This window comes from Homo sapiens, chromosome 1, assembly GCF_000001405.40.
Source record: "Homo sapiens chromosome 1, GRCh38.p14 Primary Assembly".
Classification (NCBI taxonomy): Eukaryota; Metazoa; Chordata; class Mammalia; order Primates; family Hominidae; genus Homo; species Homo sapiens.
The window spans coordinates 31435624-31452528 of record NC_000001.11 but is presented as its reverse complement, the minus strand read 5'-3'; the positions used below and the strand labels follow the sequence as shown (position 1 = coordinate 31452528).

The 16905-nt window shown below is 46.7% G+C and overlaps 2 long non-coding RNA genes across 2 annotated transcripts in view; one reads left to right on the top strand and one right to left on the bottom strand.

The window, feature by feature from the left end:
• The window catches only part of LOC124903900 (uncharacterized), a 45067-nt gene that overhangs the window by 18948 nt on the left and 9214 nt on the right, over window positions 1–16905 (top strand). The window lies entirely within an intron of this gene.
• On the bottom strand, window positions 1880–6675 carry LOC105378625 (uncharacterized). The gene is made up of 4 exons (XR_007065578.1): window positions 4068–6675; window positions 3802–3985; window positions 3073–3628; window positions 1880–2976 (listed from the first exon to the last, which is right to left on the bottom strand). It is a non-coding gene; the product is annotated as an uncharacterized LOC105378625 (long non-coding RNA).

Here is a 16905-nt window from a genome sequence, read left to right as displayed (position 1 = left end):
AGACCTCTACAAGGAAAACTACAAAACACTACTGGAAGAAATCATAGATGACACAAACAAATGGAAAGACATTCCATGTTCATGGATGGGTAGAATCAATATTGTGAAAATGACCATACTGCCAAAAACAATCTACAAATTCAATGCAATTTCCAGCAAAATACCACCATCATTTTTTTTTTTTTTTTTTTTTTTTGAGACGGAGTCTCACTCTGTCACCCAGGCTGGAGTGCAGTGGTGCGATCTCGGCTCACTGCAAGCTCCGCCTCCTGGGTTCACGCCATTTTCCTGCCTCAGCCTCCCAAGTAGCTGGGACTACAGGTGCCCGCCACCACGCCCGGCTAATTTTTTTTTTATTTTTAGTAGAGACAGGGTTTCACTGTGTTAGCCAGGATGGTCTCAATCTCCTGACCTTGTGATCTGCCTGCCTCAGCCTCCCAAAGTGCTGGGATTACAGGTGTGAGCCACCACGCCCAGCCCATCATTCTTCACAGAACTAGATAAAATAATTTTAAAATTCATATGGAACCAAAATTCATTTATAGCCAAAGCAAGACTAAGCAAAAAGAACAAATCTGGAGGCATCACATTACTGGATTTTAAACTATTCTATAAGGTCATAGTCACTAAAACAGCATGGTAATGGTATAAAAATAGGCACTTAGACAATAGAACAGAATAGAGAACCCAGAAATAAACCCAAATACTTACAACCAACTGATCTTCAACAAAGCAAACAAAAGCAAAAAGTGAGGAAAGGACCCTCTATTCAACAAATGATGCTGGGATAATTGGCAAGCCACAGGTAGGAGAAAGAAACTGGATCCTTATCTCTCACCTTATACAAAAATCAACTCAAGATAGATCAAGGAGTTAAATCTAAAACCTGAAATTATGAATATTCTAGAAGATAACGTCAGAAAAAATCTTTGTAGACATTGGCTTAGGCAAGGATTTAATGACCAAGAACCCCAAAGCAAATGCTATAAAAACAATGATAAATAGGTTGGACTTAATTAAATGAAAGAGCTTTAGAACAGCAAGAGGAACAGTCAACAGAGTTAACAGACAACCCACAGAGTGAGAGAAAATCTTTACAATCTATACATCTGACAAAGGACTAATACCCAGAATCTACAACAAACTCAAACAAATTAGCAAGAAAAAAGCAAACAATCCCATCAAAAAGTGGGATAAGGACATGAATAGACAATTCTTAAAAGAAGATATGCAAATGGCCAACAAACATATGAAAAAATGCTCAAGAACACTAATGATCAGGGAAATGCAAATCAAAACCACAATGCAATACCACCTTACTTCTGCAAGAATGGCCATAATAAAAAAATAACAGTTGTTGGTGTGGATGCAGTGAAAAGTAAACACTTCTACATTGCTGATGGTAATGGAAACTAGTACAACCACTATAGAAAACAGTGTGGAGATTTCTTAAAGAACTGAAAGTAGAACTACCATTTGATCCAGCAATCCCACAACTGGGTATCTACCCAGAGGAAAAGAAATCATTCTATGAAACAGATAACTTGCACACGTATGTTTATAGCAGCACAGTTGCAAAAATGTGGAACCTACCCAAATGCCCACCAATCAATGAGTGGATAAAGAAACTGTGGTATATATATATGACGGAATACTACTCAGCCATATAGGAATGAATTAATGGCATTCACAGCAACCTGGATGGGATTGGAGACTATTATTCTAAGTGAAGTAACTCAGGAACGGAAAACCAAACATCGTGTGTTCTCACTCATAAGTGGGAGCTAAGCTGTGAGGATGCAAAGGCAGAAGAATGACACAAGGACTTTGGGGACTCAGTGGGAAAGTGTAGGAAGTGGGTGAGGGATAAAAGACTACAAATTAAATTCAGCGTATACTGCTCAGGTTACGTATGGGTGCACCAAAATCTCACAAATCACCACGAAAGAACTTGCTCATGTAACCAAATACTACCTGCTCCCCAAAAACCTATGGAAATGAAAAACTAAAAGAAAAAAAAAAGAAATACTTGTCAAAAAAATGAATGAGTGAATGAATGAACATGTATAATAGACACATTAGCTCTCCTGGGTAGCTTCCTCTGTAAGGAGGAACTGAAGCCTGATAAAACACTGGCATTTTGTAATAATGAATATTCTTTAAAGCCTCAGTTCCCTTGCCTATAAAAGAGAAAATTGTATAGTACGTACTTAACAGAATTATGTGAGGATTTAATGAGACATGTCACATAAAGAGCTTATCACAGTGTCTGAAACTTAGAAGTCACTCAACTAGTGGTAGTGATTATTATGAAGAATCATATGTGGTATGTGGTGTTTGTTATAAGTCTATAGGTTTAGTCATAAAGTCTTGCATTTGAAATTAAGAAGAGGAAAAATAAAGCCAACATCAGAGATGTCAGAACAGGGAGATGACAAGAAATCAGGCTCTTGGTGACACTGTCAAACAGCTTAATCAAGTCTCATCTGATGCCAGACCTACCTCTGACCTTCTTAGTCACACGAATCAATAAATTTTCTTTACTTTTTAAAGCACTTTGAATTGGGCTTTCTGTTGGCTATACTTCAAAGCGTCCTAAGTGATACACAAGGTCATGAGCCAAAACACATGTTTAATCAATCCATACAACAAACATTTAATCAGCACCTACACTATACCAAGTCATTAGACAGACTCAAAGGTTAATAGAGGCCAGATGCAGTAGCTCGTGCCTGTAATCCCAGCACTTTGGGAGGCCAAGGTGGGTAGATCACTTGAGGTCAAGAGTTAGAGACCAGCCTGGCCAACATGAAAATACAAAAATTAGCCAGGTGCCGTGGTGCACACCTGTAGTCCCAGCTACTCAGGAGGCTGAGGCAGGAGAATTGCTCCAACCTGGGAAGTTGAGGTTGCAGTGAGCCAAGATGCCAAGATCATGCCACTGCACTCCAGCCTGGTGACACAGCGAGACTCTGTCTTAAAAAAAAAAAAAAGAAGGTTAATAGAACTCTGCCCTCCTGGAACCCACTCCATCCAGTAAGAAAGACAGAAAAGAACATAATATCACCATACTTTGTGTGGTTTGATGTGATGTGATGGATACATTGGGTCAGCACCTCCTTCTAGCATGCTATGCCAGGGTCCCTGGCAGCCAGGACTCTGACAATTAAGACTCAGCCAATCAGATTCAGTCACACAAGATGTAGAAAATGGAAGGAAGGTGAAGGCCATCTTCCTGTTGTTTTTGCCATTTCTGCTAACAACACAGTTGTGAAGACATCTGGTTTTTCTGTCGTACAGTTGGTAAAGATGTGGTTTTCCTAGCTTAGTGGACATCAAGAATAAGACATGAACACGCATTTATTCTGCTGCCAAGGACTGTGGCAGGCGTGGTGTGATGGTGTGGCACATTAGTAGCAGCCTCCTGATAATGGCGGCTCCCTGGTGGTAGCTGTGATGCATTCTGGAGCCGGTGGCTTTCTGATTACAGCAGTTTTCTTGATGACCTAGTCCCGGGAGTTATTCCTGAAACTTCAACTCAAAGTCTGTTTCTTCAGCCTTTGGTGAAGTCTTTATTTTTTTAAACCAGTTTGAATAGGGCTTTCTGTTGGCTATAGTTCAAAGCATCCTAAATGATACACAAAGCCATGAGCCAAAAACACATGTTTAATTATTTAACACCCTAATAAACTCCTTTCTACCTAAACCAGCTAATGTGGATCATGTTGTATGACACCACCATTTAACCTTCCAAAGCCACACCATTGGATAAACTGTTGACATTCCCTTTCACCAGCTTACCTCCACTCATTTCCAATCCATCACCAAGCCCTGTTGATTTCACCTCCATCCTCTTCCTCCACGACCACTACCCTCATCCAGGCCACCATCATCTCCTCTTGGTTTGCCAATATTCTTCTACACATTCCCCTGGATCCACTCCGCCACCAATCCATCGTCCACAATGCATCCAGAGTGAGCATTTCTGAAGGAAAATCTGAGGCTCATTTAAAATCCTCCAATAACCAGAACAGAGAGCCCAGACACAGTAATACATATACAACTACCTGATTGATGACAGTTCTCCTGTGGGAGGGAAGGGATTGTCTTTTCCGTAAGTAGCGCTGGGTCGATATGGAAAAACATGGACTTTGATTTCTACTTCACACTATAACAAGAAGTAATGAGATACATCATAATCATATCCCTAAACGTAAAAACAAAACAATAAAGATTCCAGAAGAAAAAATAAAATAATATCCGACCTTGGAGGGGGCAAAATTTTCTTAATAAAGGCAAAATAAGCGTCATAAAAGAAAAGATTTAGTCCAGGTGCGGTGGCTCACGCCTGTAATCCCAGTGCTTTGGGAGGCCAAGGCGGGCAGATCACCTGCGGTCAGGAGTTCAAGATCAGTCTGGCCAACATGGTGAAACCCCGACTCTAGTAAAAATATAAAATTTAGCTGGGTGTGGTGGCACGTGCCTGTAATCTCAGCTACTTGGGAGGCTGAGGCAAGAGAATTGCTTGAACCTGGGAGGCAGAGGTTTCAGTGAGCCAAGATCGTGCCATTGCACTCCAGCCTGGGCAACAAGAGTGAAACTCCATCTCAAAAATAATAATAATAATAATAAATAATTTTAAAAACTAAAGAAAATGTTAAAAATTAGACTTCTTTGAAATTAAGAATCACTGTTCATCAGAAGACAACATTAAGAGGGTGAAAAGATAAGACAGAGATTATGAGAAGATATTTGCAAAATATATATCCACCAAGGACTCACTTCCCATGTATCTGCTACAAATCAGCAGGGAAAAAACCTCCCAATTTAAAAATGGGCTAAAGAGTTAAATAGGCACTTTACACACAGCAAAAAAGGATATTCAGTAGTCCAATAAGCATATGAAACAGTGTCCAACGTCAGTGGTCATGAAGGAGATGCAGATTAAAATCACAAGATACTTCTATACCCCTGCTTTGGACCTCGGCTCACCCCTAACGGAAGTGCGTGACATTGGCTATCTTTCTATCATGGCCCTTGACACATTTACAACGTACACGTTTGTGTGGCTACTGGATTTACGTCCACCTCCTCCACCAGATCTCAGCCCCCTAATGGCAAGTGTGACATCTGCTGCTGATCCTTGTGTAAACAAGGCCTGCTATAGAATAGGTGTGTGACGCACCGCTAGTGGATGAATGAATGAAGGAATGAAAAAGGCACTATCATTGCCATTTTACAGATCAGGAAACTGAGTCTCCTTTGTTTGAGAAATTTGTCCAAAGTCCCATTACTCGCCTGTGGTTACTATTGCACTTCAGGGTTCAGATCCTACTAGGGAGTAGATGAGTTGTCCTGCCTTGGTTACTGAAAGTTCTAAAGACTCTCAGTGGGGGTGGCATCTTATTCAGATGTTCCTAGGTGATCTGAACAGAAAAGCCTTGTAAGTATAGTAAGATGAGGGCGTGGCTCAGGCTGATCTGTCCTAGGCACAAGCCAAGTTAAGATTTTGTTGTTGTGGTCCAATTCAGGAAGAGACCTGCCTAGTGGACATTCTGGTTTTCTGCTCAGGGGAGAGTCAGGGTGAAGGAGGTCACAGTGTCCTCCCTTGCACCTCTCTGAGCAGCCACTGGCATGGTGTAGCCTGATTTCCGTGTGAGACATCCACACATTCACAAACACAATTTTAGATACCACTCCTAGGTGTATACCCAAGAGATATGAAAACAGATGTTCAAATAAAAACCTGTGCATGCATGTGTACAGCAGCATTTTTCGTAACAGTTAAAAAGTGAAACAACCCAATAATTTATCAAAGGACGATGAATGGACAAACAAAATGTGGATATTCATACAGTGGAATATTATGCAGCCATAGAAAGGAATGAAGTAGGCTGGGCGCAGTGGCTCATGCCTGTAATCTCAGCACTTTGGGAGGCTGAGGTGGGCGGATCACGAGGTCAGGAGATCGAGGCCATCCTGGCTAACACGGTGAAACCCCGTCTCTACTGAAAATACAAAAAAAACCCAAAAAATTAGCCAGGTGTGGTGGCAGGCGCCTATAGTCCCAGCTACTCCAGAGGCTGAGGCGGGAGAATGGCGTGAACCCGGGAGGCAGAGCTTGCAGTGAGCTGAGATCGCGCCACGGCTCTCCAGCCTGGGCAACAGAGCAAGACTCTGTCTCAAAAAAAAATTAAAAAAAAAAAGAAAGGAATGAAGTAGTGCAATATGGATGAACCTTAAAAACATTATACTAAGTGAAAGAAGCCAGACAAAAAAGGTCACAGAGTGTATGATTCCATTCATATAAAATATCCAGAATAGGCAAACCCACAGAAACAGGAAGCAGATTAGCGGTTGCAAAGGCTGAGGGGAGCGGGAATGGGGAGTGATTGCTTCATTGATATGAGGTTTTCTTCTGGGGTGAGGAGAATGTTTTGGAACTGGATAGAGGCGATGGTTGCTTAACATTGTGAATGTACTCAATACTACTGAATTGTATCTTCAAAATGGTAAATTTTGTTATGTGAGGGGAACCCTGGCTCTAACTCAGAACCCCCTGCAGCATGGGGCAAAGGCACAGAAAAGTGGGGTGAATGGATATCGAATGTCAGTCCATCGAATGCATTGCTGTGTGCAAGTATGCTCATGTCCATGTGTGTACACATGCTATGTGCACGTGTGTGCATATGTGCATGCATGCATGTGTGTGTGAATCTGTGTGTGTGTGTGTGTGTGTGTGTGGTGGGAGGGCACTTGGGCCAGTAGTAGGCCATTGAGACCAGAGGGAAAGAGGCATTCTCAAAGAGACCACCACAGACTCTTCTTCTGTGAGGACCTGGACCAGAGCTCCTAAGGGCCATTGGGCCAAGACAGGAAACAGACGTTAGCTGTCAAATTGCCTAAAACTACCCCTTATTTTACTAATGAGAAAAGCCAGGCCAGAAGAGTTCTACCCCTTGCCCAGGGCCACACTGCAAGTCAGTGGCACTGACTTAAACCCCAGCCAGCTCTCCAGGATTAAGGTCCATGTTTTCCACTTGAGGTGTGACTAGGGTCCTAGGTTTCACCCGGCGTGGGGCGGGGGGGCGGGTCCTCCCACTTTGGGCACCCAGCCCTGAGGACACCCAACAGTGCCAGGCCTCCATCCACCGCCCTCTGGCTGCTCAGCAGATCCTGGATCCTGGTGGTTCGGGGGCATGTTCCAATGTACTTCAACAACAGCAAACATTTACAGATGTCTGCTCTCTGCCAGTCCCCAGGGAGTGGAAGGTGACAGAATGCATCAGTTATGATTCCTCCCCAAACTTGTGCAATCCCTAGGCTTGTGGGGGCATTAGGTAAACAATCTCACCAGAGTCAAGAGGCCAACAAGGAGGCAAAGGTCCCTGAGAGGGCATCTCGACTGCTATCAAAGAGGAAACTGAGTCTCAGAATATCCCTGACCTGGCTGAGGCCACCCAACCCAGATGCAGCTGAGCCTAGAATTTGAACCTGATAACCTACAGGTCACATTTGGCAGGCTTCCAACCAGGGGAAGGTCTTGTGATTCACAGCAATATCCTGTCCCTGAATAAAGAATCTTATCACAAGTCCCTCAAATCTTACGTGACTTCCTCCAACTGTTGACGTGCTGATTAATATGTAACCTACTGACATGGAAAAGGACACTGATTTGTGTCTGAATCATGAAGTTTACTGGCTTACATGTAGAGCATTTTCTTCCATGTGATATAACCTGTTGTCAATCATTGTAACCTCTGTATCGTGCCCTCCAAAGAGAAAGGGCAAATCTGAAATGAGGAACCCCCTGCCCCTTTTCCTAAACTTTCTTATAAAAGCAATCCCACTCGTTACAGACTTGGAAAGATGCCTAATTGTGTTGGTGTGTCTTCCAGGTCAATCTTCACATTTGGTTTCTGACAAACTTTTACCAAATTACTTCTGCCTCAACAGCCTTAATTTCAGTCAACAAACCCAACATATTTGAGTCCAAACCCATGCTTTTAGAATATAGAAGGTAGCAGAGCACAGAGTGTGGACTTAGGTGTCACCTAGACTTGTGTCCAAATCCTAGGCTCAGAACCTTATTGGCTGTGTGCCTTGGGTGACACTTCTCCTTGCCTTAGTTTTCTCATACATGAAATAGAACCATGAATATGTCTACTTCAGGGAGTGGGTGGGAGAGTTAGTTGAGATAACACATGGAAGTGGTTGAGCCACTGTCTGGCACATAACAAGTGCTCAGTAAGTATGAACTGTTTACCTTATGCCCTCAACCCGCCAGCCCCAGACTTTTCAGACTGTAAGAGAGGGTAGAGGCCAGGTGGCTACTCCAGGATCTTCCAAGGGGCACAAGTCAGGTCCCTCTTCCAGGCTGACCTTGTGTACAGGAAAGACTTTAAGCTTGCCAAAAAGAGTTCTGGCCTTTGTCCTTGGTAAGTAATCTCTGTTTGTCTGGGGATCTTGGGCTATCCAGATAGCAACATTTTGATGTAGAGTGGGAAGACCAACCACATGATTTAGGGTAGGAGCTCTGGGTCACACTATCTCAGTTGACCTGGAGACTGAAATCAACCACATGGGCAATCAGTCAATGATGCCTGCATAATGGAGGCCCAATAAAAACTCTGAACTCCAGAGCTCAGGAGAGCCTCCATGGTTGACAATACTCCATGCACATCATCATACATGGATGCTGGGAAGTAACGCATCCTGGCTTCAGGGAGAGAGGACAGTGGGAACTCTGCATCTGATACTTCCCTAGACTCTGTTCTGTGCACATCTTCCCTTAACTGATCTTAATCTTTATCCTTTCCCTGTAATAAACCATAACTCTCAGCCCAATAGCTTTCAGTGGATTCTGTGAGTCCCTCTAGTGAATAATAAAACTTAAGGATGGTTTTGGAAATTCCTGGACTTGCAATTGGTGTCAGAAGTGAAGGTGGGCCTGGCCAACATGGTGAAACCCCGTTTCTATTAAAGATACTAAAAATTAGCCTAAAATTAGCCAGGTGTGGTGGTGGGTGCCTGTAATCCCAGCTACTCGGGAGGCTGAGGCAGGAGAATCACTTGGAAACAGAAGGCAGAGGTTGCAGTGAGCTGAGATCGCACCACTGCACTGCAGCCTGGGCAACAGGGTAAGACTGTCTCAAAAAAAAAAAAGAAGATGAGAGGGTGGTTGGCTGGGCATGGTGGCTTATGCCCATAATCCTAACATTTTGGGAGGCCAAGGTGGGTGGATTGCTTGAGCCCAGGAGTTGGGGACCAGCCTGGGCAACATGGCAGAACTTCATCTCTAGCTAAAAAAAAAAAAAAAAAAGGAAGAGAAGAAGAAGTGAGGGTGATCTTGTGGACTGTGTTCCCTCTCAGCTATATAGTTGGCCAAACGCTTGCACCCTGGCATGTTAAACAAATGAGAAAGTGACCGGGTTGTCCAGAACAGCTCATGGTCAAAGAAAATGTATCCAAACCCTGCACGGAGTGCTTTAAGTGCTGTGTGTCTCTATGTCTCTCCAGCAAGTCTGTGGGGTAGGAGCTCATCATCCCTTTTACAGACAAGGAAGCTGGGGCTCAAAGAGGTGAGGTAAGGGGAGGAGCCGGATGTGAGCCCGGGCCTGCCTGACTCCACACTCAGGATCTGACCACCATATGGTACTGTCCTCTCCCAAGGGCCCTTCTACGCTCACAAGCTAAGATGTCACTAGTCTGGGACCTCTTGAGAAGTCAAATGGAGAAAGGCTGAGCCTTTTCAGAGCAGGGTGGTATCAGGCCTCTTTGGTGACCCCATGACAACATCTTCATCACTCTCAACAGCCTGATCACAGTACTTGGCCCTGCGTCAGGACTTGCAAACACAAATGACTTCATGGGCCAGACAGGTCCCTTAAAGGGTGAAACACCAGGTGAACACTGAGGAGGAGCAGTGGGAAGTGGGGCAGATGGAGAAGGTGCTCCGTGGCCAGGTATCACAGTCTGTGTTGAGTTCTTGTTTGATTTTTTTTTTTCAGAAGCAGAGTCTGTTGTCCAGGCTGGAGTGCAGTGGCACAATCATAGCTCACTGCGGCCTTGAACTCCTGGGCTCAAGCGACCCTCCCACCTCAGCCTTTCAAGTAGCTGGGACTACAGGCACACGCCACCATGCCCAGCTAATTTTGGTATTTTTTGGTAGAGGCGGGGTTTTGCTATGTTGCCCAGGCTGGTCTCAAGCTCCTGGCCTCAAACAATCTTCCCACCTTGGCCTCCACAAGTATTGGGATTACAGGCATGAGCCACTGCGCCCTGCCTGTTCTTGTTTTTTTATACACAGCGAGGGCCAAACCAGACATGCCTTTGGGGCCCAGCCTGTGACCTCTGAACCACATAACCCTGCCCTTCTCCCTTCTGCAGCTTCACCCCAAACCGCAGAGCTCCAGCCCCTACACTTTGCACCGGCGCTGTCCTCTCCCTGCAGAGCCTCTACAGGTGCTGTTCCCTGCCTGCACTCTCCCCAGGCTCTGTGCCCCTCTGGGCTCTCACCATTTCTGCAAGTCTCAGCTTCACAGTCATTTCTCAGAATTGTCCTCTGACCCTGCACACCTCAGTAAATAGAGCTCAGGCCTCTTGACCCAGCCCAGGGCTCCTCCTCTCCCAATTCCTTTATAAACTCACCACTCCTGCCCCCAGGCTTTCCCATGGCTGCTGCAGAATCAACTAATGTTCATTCAGATGGTCAGCCAGTCAATCAAGAAACCCGACGCTTGCTGAATACCTTCTCTTTATCAGGCTCTGTTCTAGGCACTGGGAAACTATAAACAACAAAGATAGATTCTCACCCTCATCGACCACATGAGGAGTCAGAGAATATAAATAGATACATAATTACACCCAGTAACAAAGGCCATGCAGACCTGGGCAACATAGTGAAACCTCATCTGTACTAAAAATAAAAATAAAAAAATTAGCCAGGTGTGGTGATGTGTGCCCGTAGTCCTAGCTACTCAGGAGACCAAGGCAAGAGGATCGCTTGAGCCTGGGAGGTTGAGGCTGCAATGAGCTATGATACCACCACTGCACTCCAGCCTGGGTGACAGAAAGATTCCATCTCAAAACAAGAAGGAAAAAAGGCTATGCAGAGAATACAGAATGGGCTAATTAGACTAGGGGTCAGGGTCTCCATCTCCCTCTTCTGTTTCGAATTCCTTTCTCTGTACACTAGCAGGTTTGCTATAGGGATTAAAGCTCCTTGCTCCAAGGAGGGGCACATAGAACTGTTCCATAAACATTGGCTCCTGTTATCATTTTCCCCCCACATCCTGCCATCTGTCATTCACAGCCACCTCCAGAGGGGCAAAAGGCAGGTGTCCCTGGAGGGAGAGGAAAGACTAAGGTGACCTCATCGGTCAGCCTAGCCTTCTGTCTTAGTACCTGAGGACTGATAGCCGGGGAAAGGAAGGGGCTATATCTTCTTTGGCCCCCACTCTCCCCAGCATGGTGCTAGGCCCTTTACAGACGTGCTCTCACTGACACAGGCAGCATGCCATGGGGTGGATGCTACTACAATCTCCATTCTGCAGATGGGGAAACTGAGGCCCAGAGAGTCCCTAGCAGCTGGGGGGCAAAGCTGAGAGATGAGAACTTAGAGGATCTCGGCTCTGAAGCCCATGTTCTTCCTGGAGCCTGGCAAGCTTCCAGAATCACCACAGCCGCAGATGGTAGCAATAACAAAACAAAACAACAAAACACTGAAGGCAGCATAGGTGCCCATCAATTGAGGATTAGTTACATAAACAATGGAATATTCATTCCATAGAATCCTATGCTGCTGCTTGAAAAAAGTCAAGTAGATAAATGCTTTTCATACTCCTGTACTGTTTAAGTGGGGCTTTATTTAAAAACAATAAACCTGCAGCCAGGTGTGGTGGTTCACACCTGTAATCCCAACACTTTGAGAGACCGAGGCGGGCAGATCACTTGAGGTCAGGAGTTTGAGAGCAGCCTGCCCAACATGGTGAAACCCTGTCTCTACTAAAAATACAAAAAATAGCCGGGCATTGTGGCGCATCCCTGTAATCCCAGCTACTCGAGAGGCTGAGGCACAAGAATCACTTGCACCTGGGACGCAGAGATTGCAGTGAGCCAAGATCGCACCATTGCACTCCAGCCTGGGCAACAGAGTGAGACTCTGTCTCAAAAAAGAAAAAGTAAAAACAAACAAACCATAAACTTGCATTATATCTAAAATTATTTTAAAGTGGATATGAGGCCTGGCGCAGTGGCTCATGACTATAATCCCAGCATTTTGGGAGGCTGATGTGAGTGGATCACCTGAGGTCAGGAGTTTGAGACCAGCCTGACTAACATGGTGAAACCTGGTATCTACCAAAGAAAAATAATAATAATAGAAAAGTTAGCCAGGCATGATGGCATGCGCCTGTAGTCCCAGCTACTCGGGAGGCTGAGGCATAAGAATCGCTTGAACCTGGGAGGCAGAGGTTGCAATGAGTGGAGATCGCACCACTGCACTCCAGCCTGGGCAACAGAGCGAGACCCTGTCTAAAAATAAAATTAAATTAAAAATAAATCAATAAAGTGGATATGACAATTCACAGGTGTGCAAGAAACAGCATCATTCATTTGCTTTATATCAACATTTTCTCTCCCTTTTTTTGGAAACAGTCTCACTGTGATGCCCAGGCTAGAGTGCAGTGGCACAATCTCGGCCCACTGCAGCTTCGACCTCCTGGGCTCAAAGGACCCTCCCACCTCAGCCTCCCAAGTAGCTGGGACTACAGGTGCATGCCACTACACTTGGCTGATTTTTTTGTGTTTAATAGAGATGAAGTCTCGCTATGTTGCCCAGACTGGTCTCAAGCTCCTGGGCTCAACTGATCCTCCTGCCCCTGCCTCCCAAAGTGCTGGCATTACTGGCGTGAGCCACTGCACCTGGCCCATTTGCTTTGCATCAACTTTCTATCCAAATTTTCCATCCCACCATGCTGGTGGGAAATTCAACCTCAGCCCATTCATCATTCTCTCTGACACACACACATCCCTCACCAGGACAGAGCAAAAGTCCTGGGGTCACCTGTGGCAGCAAGTCAGTGGGCAGAGTGGGAAGAACCCAGCACCATTGGACACCAATCCACACTGGTTACTGCCAAAATACCCACTGTCCCAGCCCACCAGGCGCACTGTAGGGCTGGGCTGGAGACTATGCTTCTCTCTCTCGAGGTCTCCAGCTGTGCCTCACTCTCTCCTCTCCCTCCAGGAAGCCCCTGTGCTGCCTCCATCACTGCCCCATCCCTCATTACCCAGGAGCTCCTCAGTGAACCCAGGCTTTTGGAAACCAGAGTTAGGAGAGGAGTTATATTTTGCAGGTAACCCTCTCCTACTTGCTGCACCTCCACAAACTTCCCCCAAAAGGGGGAAGGAGGCCCAAAACCTTCAAAAAACTATTTTGTCATAATTTATCCTACTGGTAAATACATATGTATATTATACAAACATATCTAATACACATATGTTTATAAATATACACATTGATATGGGGAGGTTGTGCACACATAATACATTATTGGCAGCCAATGTCCCTGAGTAATGGAGACAGGTTTCTCCTGTTTGTTATTTTTATTTTCACTAAAATGAATGACCATCTCACAAGTCATATCAGTTAGCAATACATTCAGTTGCAAGGAACGTAATACTCAACTAAGAGGGGCTTGCATGTATTGGGGTTTGTTTTCCTCCTCACATAACAGGCATCTGGAGTCAAGGACAGCAGAGATGATGTAGCGACTTAAAGATGCATCAAAGACCTAGACTCTTCCTTTTTCAAGACAGGGTCTGGCTCTGTCGCCCAGGCTGGAGTGCAGTGGCACAATCACAGCTCACTGCAGCCTCGACCTGCCAGGCTCAAGCGATCCTCCCACCTCAGCCTCCCAGGTAGTTGGAACTACAGGCACACGCCACCACGCCTGGCTAATATTTTTTTTCTTTTGAGACAGTCTCGCTCTGTCGCCCAGGCTGGAGTGCAGTGGCAAAATCTCAGCTCACTGCAAGCTCCGTCCCCCGTGTTCACGCCATTCTCCTGCCTTAGCCTCCCAAGAAGCTGGGACTACAGGCACCCGCCACCATGCCCAGCTAATTTTTTGTATTTTTAGTAGAGACAGGGTTTCACCGTGTTAGCCAGGATGGTCTCAATCTCCTGACCTCTTGATCCGCCTGCCTCGGCCTCCCAAAGTGCTGGGATTACAAGTGTTTTGTTTCTTTTTTGTTTGTTTATTTGTTTTTGAGACGGAGTCTTGCTCTGTCGCCAGGCTGGAGTGCAGTAGTGCAATCTCGGATCACTACAACCTCTGCCTCCTGGGTTCAAGCGATTTTCCTACCTCAGCCTCCTGAGTAGCTGGGATTACAGGTGTGCACAACCACACCCAGCTAATTTTTGTATTTTAGTAGAGATGGGGTTTCACCATGTTGGTCAGGCTGGTTTCAAACTCCTGACCTCGTGATCCACCCACCTCGGCCTCCCAAAGTGCTGGGATTAAAGGCATGAGCCACCGCGCCCAGCCCAAATGTTTTATTTTTCGTAGAGATGGGGTCTCACTGTTGTCCAGGCTGGTCTTGAACTCCTGAACTCAAGTGATCCTCCTGCCTCTGCCCCCCAAAGTGTTGGGGTTACAGGCATGGGGTTACAGGGGAAGGAGGTTCAGGCTGCTCTGAAGGTTACAGGCATGAGCCACTGCGCCCAGCCAACTTCCTATTTTTCTGAACACCATCTTCTCCAGGTTGGTTTCTCATCCTCAGACTTGTTGCCTCATTGTCCCAAGACAGCTGCTGCAGCCCCAGGTACTGTGGTTGTGTCCAAAGAGGAGAAGGAAGAAGCAGTGCTGTGTAATACGAAAGCAAGAACTCCCGGAAATATCCATGAACATTTCCACTTAGATCTAATTAGGCTGAAGGCGTCTAACTCTGAGGGAAGCTGCAAAGTGACCACCCGGCTTTTCCAGCCTCAGTGATGGAGGCAGGAAAGGGCACGGGGGTTGGGAATGGCAGGCTCGTCACATGCATCACACTGCCTCTGTTCCTGACATGATCTATAAGCTTTGCACTCACTCTGCCCAGATACTCATTCCACAGCCTGGGTCCAAAGATGCGCCAGGACAGGCAGGGCTGAGGCTGCCACTGGTATTTCTGCAGTGACAGCAGCCCAGGCCTGGGGACTGCGGCACAGTGTCCAGGGGCACAGCATGGGCCCTCAGGGCTGAGGACAGCGTTTTCCCCATTACCAGTCCAGCAGGGAAGCCCAATGTGTCAGGGGCTGGCAGACAAAAAGAGTGGGATCCTACGGGCCTCTCCCACCTACTGACAAAGGAGGGGAGGTGACCAAGGAGAGTAAAGGAAAGAGAAGTGACAGAGAGGATGATGGAGAAGAGGAGGTGACTGAGAAAGAGAAGGTGATGGAGAACAGGAGGTGGAGGAAAGATGAGGGTGAGGGAGGAGAAGGGAAGACAGGAGGATATGTGGAAACCACAATGCTAGGCAGCAGGAGACAAGGGAGCACCCAGCAGACAGGCTAAGTGGATGTCCTGGGTCCTGGGTGGGCAGCTGGTCAGGCCTGACATCGACCAGCAGGTTCATGAGCATAGCCAATGCCTGGAAGGAAGAACAGGGCTGAGGAGACACAGGGGGAAGCCCGACCTGTGGGATTAGAGGTGGCTTCCCAAAGGTGGTGACCTCCACACTGGGGACCTGCAGCTCTCTAGCCAGGCATTCCAGCTTCTCAGCCTGGCCCCTGACCCTTCCCAGCCAGTCCCGCTCCAGCCCAGCCCAGCAAAGAACTCATGCTCAGTACATTTGTTGAATGAATAATTTAAAACCTATAGAGCAACAAGGCTACAAAAGCTGGACAAAATTGCCCACTTAGGCTGGGCGCGGTGGCTCATGCCTGTAATCCTAGCACTCTGGGAGGCTGAGGCAGGTGGATCTCCTGAGGTCAAGAGTTCGAGACCAGCCTGACCAACATGGTGAACCCATCTCTACTAAAAATACAAAAAAAAAATACAAAAAAAAAAAAAAATAGCTGGGCGTGGAGGTGCATGCCTGTAATCCCAGCTACCCGGGAGGCTGAGGCAGGAGAATCACTGAAACCTGGGAGGCGGAGGTTGCAGTGAGCTGAGATCGTGCCACTGCACTCCAGCCTGGGTGACAGAGTGAGATTCAGTCTCAAAAAAAGAAAAAAAAAATTGCCCACTTGCACAAATGCAAAGAAAATGTTATCAAGAGCACAACGTGGGCTTTTTCTCCCAAGGGTGAAATGAGAAAATAAGCGAAATCTGTGGTTGGGCGAAGGAGGTTCAGGCTGCTCTGAAGACAGGGGTCTCAGCTGAAAGGCACCAGGGACAAGAGCATCTGCAAGATCCATCCCAGCGGCAAGAGAAGCCCTCCTCGGCCCCTGCCCCAGCAGGCCCCGACTCCCTCTGCCCTGAGCCCTGGCACCTGCCCCCAGCTGCTGCACTCCCCTCTATCTCATCCAGGGAAACCTTTCTAAAATGGCAATCTTAAAATGACATGCCCCTGCTGGGCTCGAAATCATGTAGGGCCTTTCCATGGTCAGCCCACACCTTCACCACTTCTCCCCTGCTCTAAAACCCTCCATGGCTCCCCACTACCAGCAGGATTAGGTCTGGTCTCCCCACCATGACTCTCAAGGGCCTGTGTGATTTGGTCTGGCCCATGTCTCCAAGCTCATACTAACCTCGCCACCCCACCCCTCTCTGTGCCCTGGCCATCTTGGCTTCTCCCTGGTCCTTGAACCCCACACCCTCCGACTCCTGTGTTGTCCCCCTGCCCTCAGTGCTGTGGCTCCTCTTGGCCCAGCTGACTCCTACACATCCTCCAGATGCCTGTCCTGCCTCCTCGGTGACC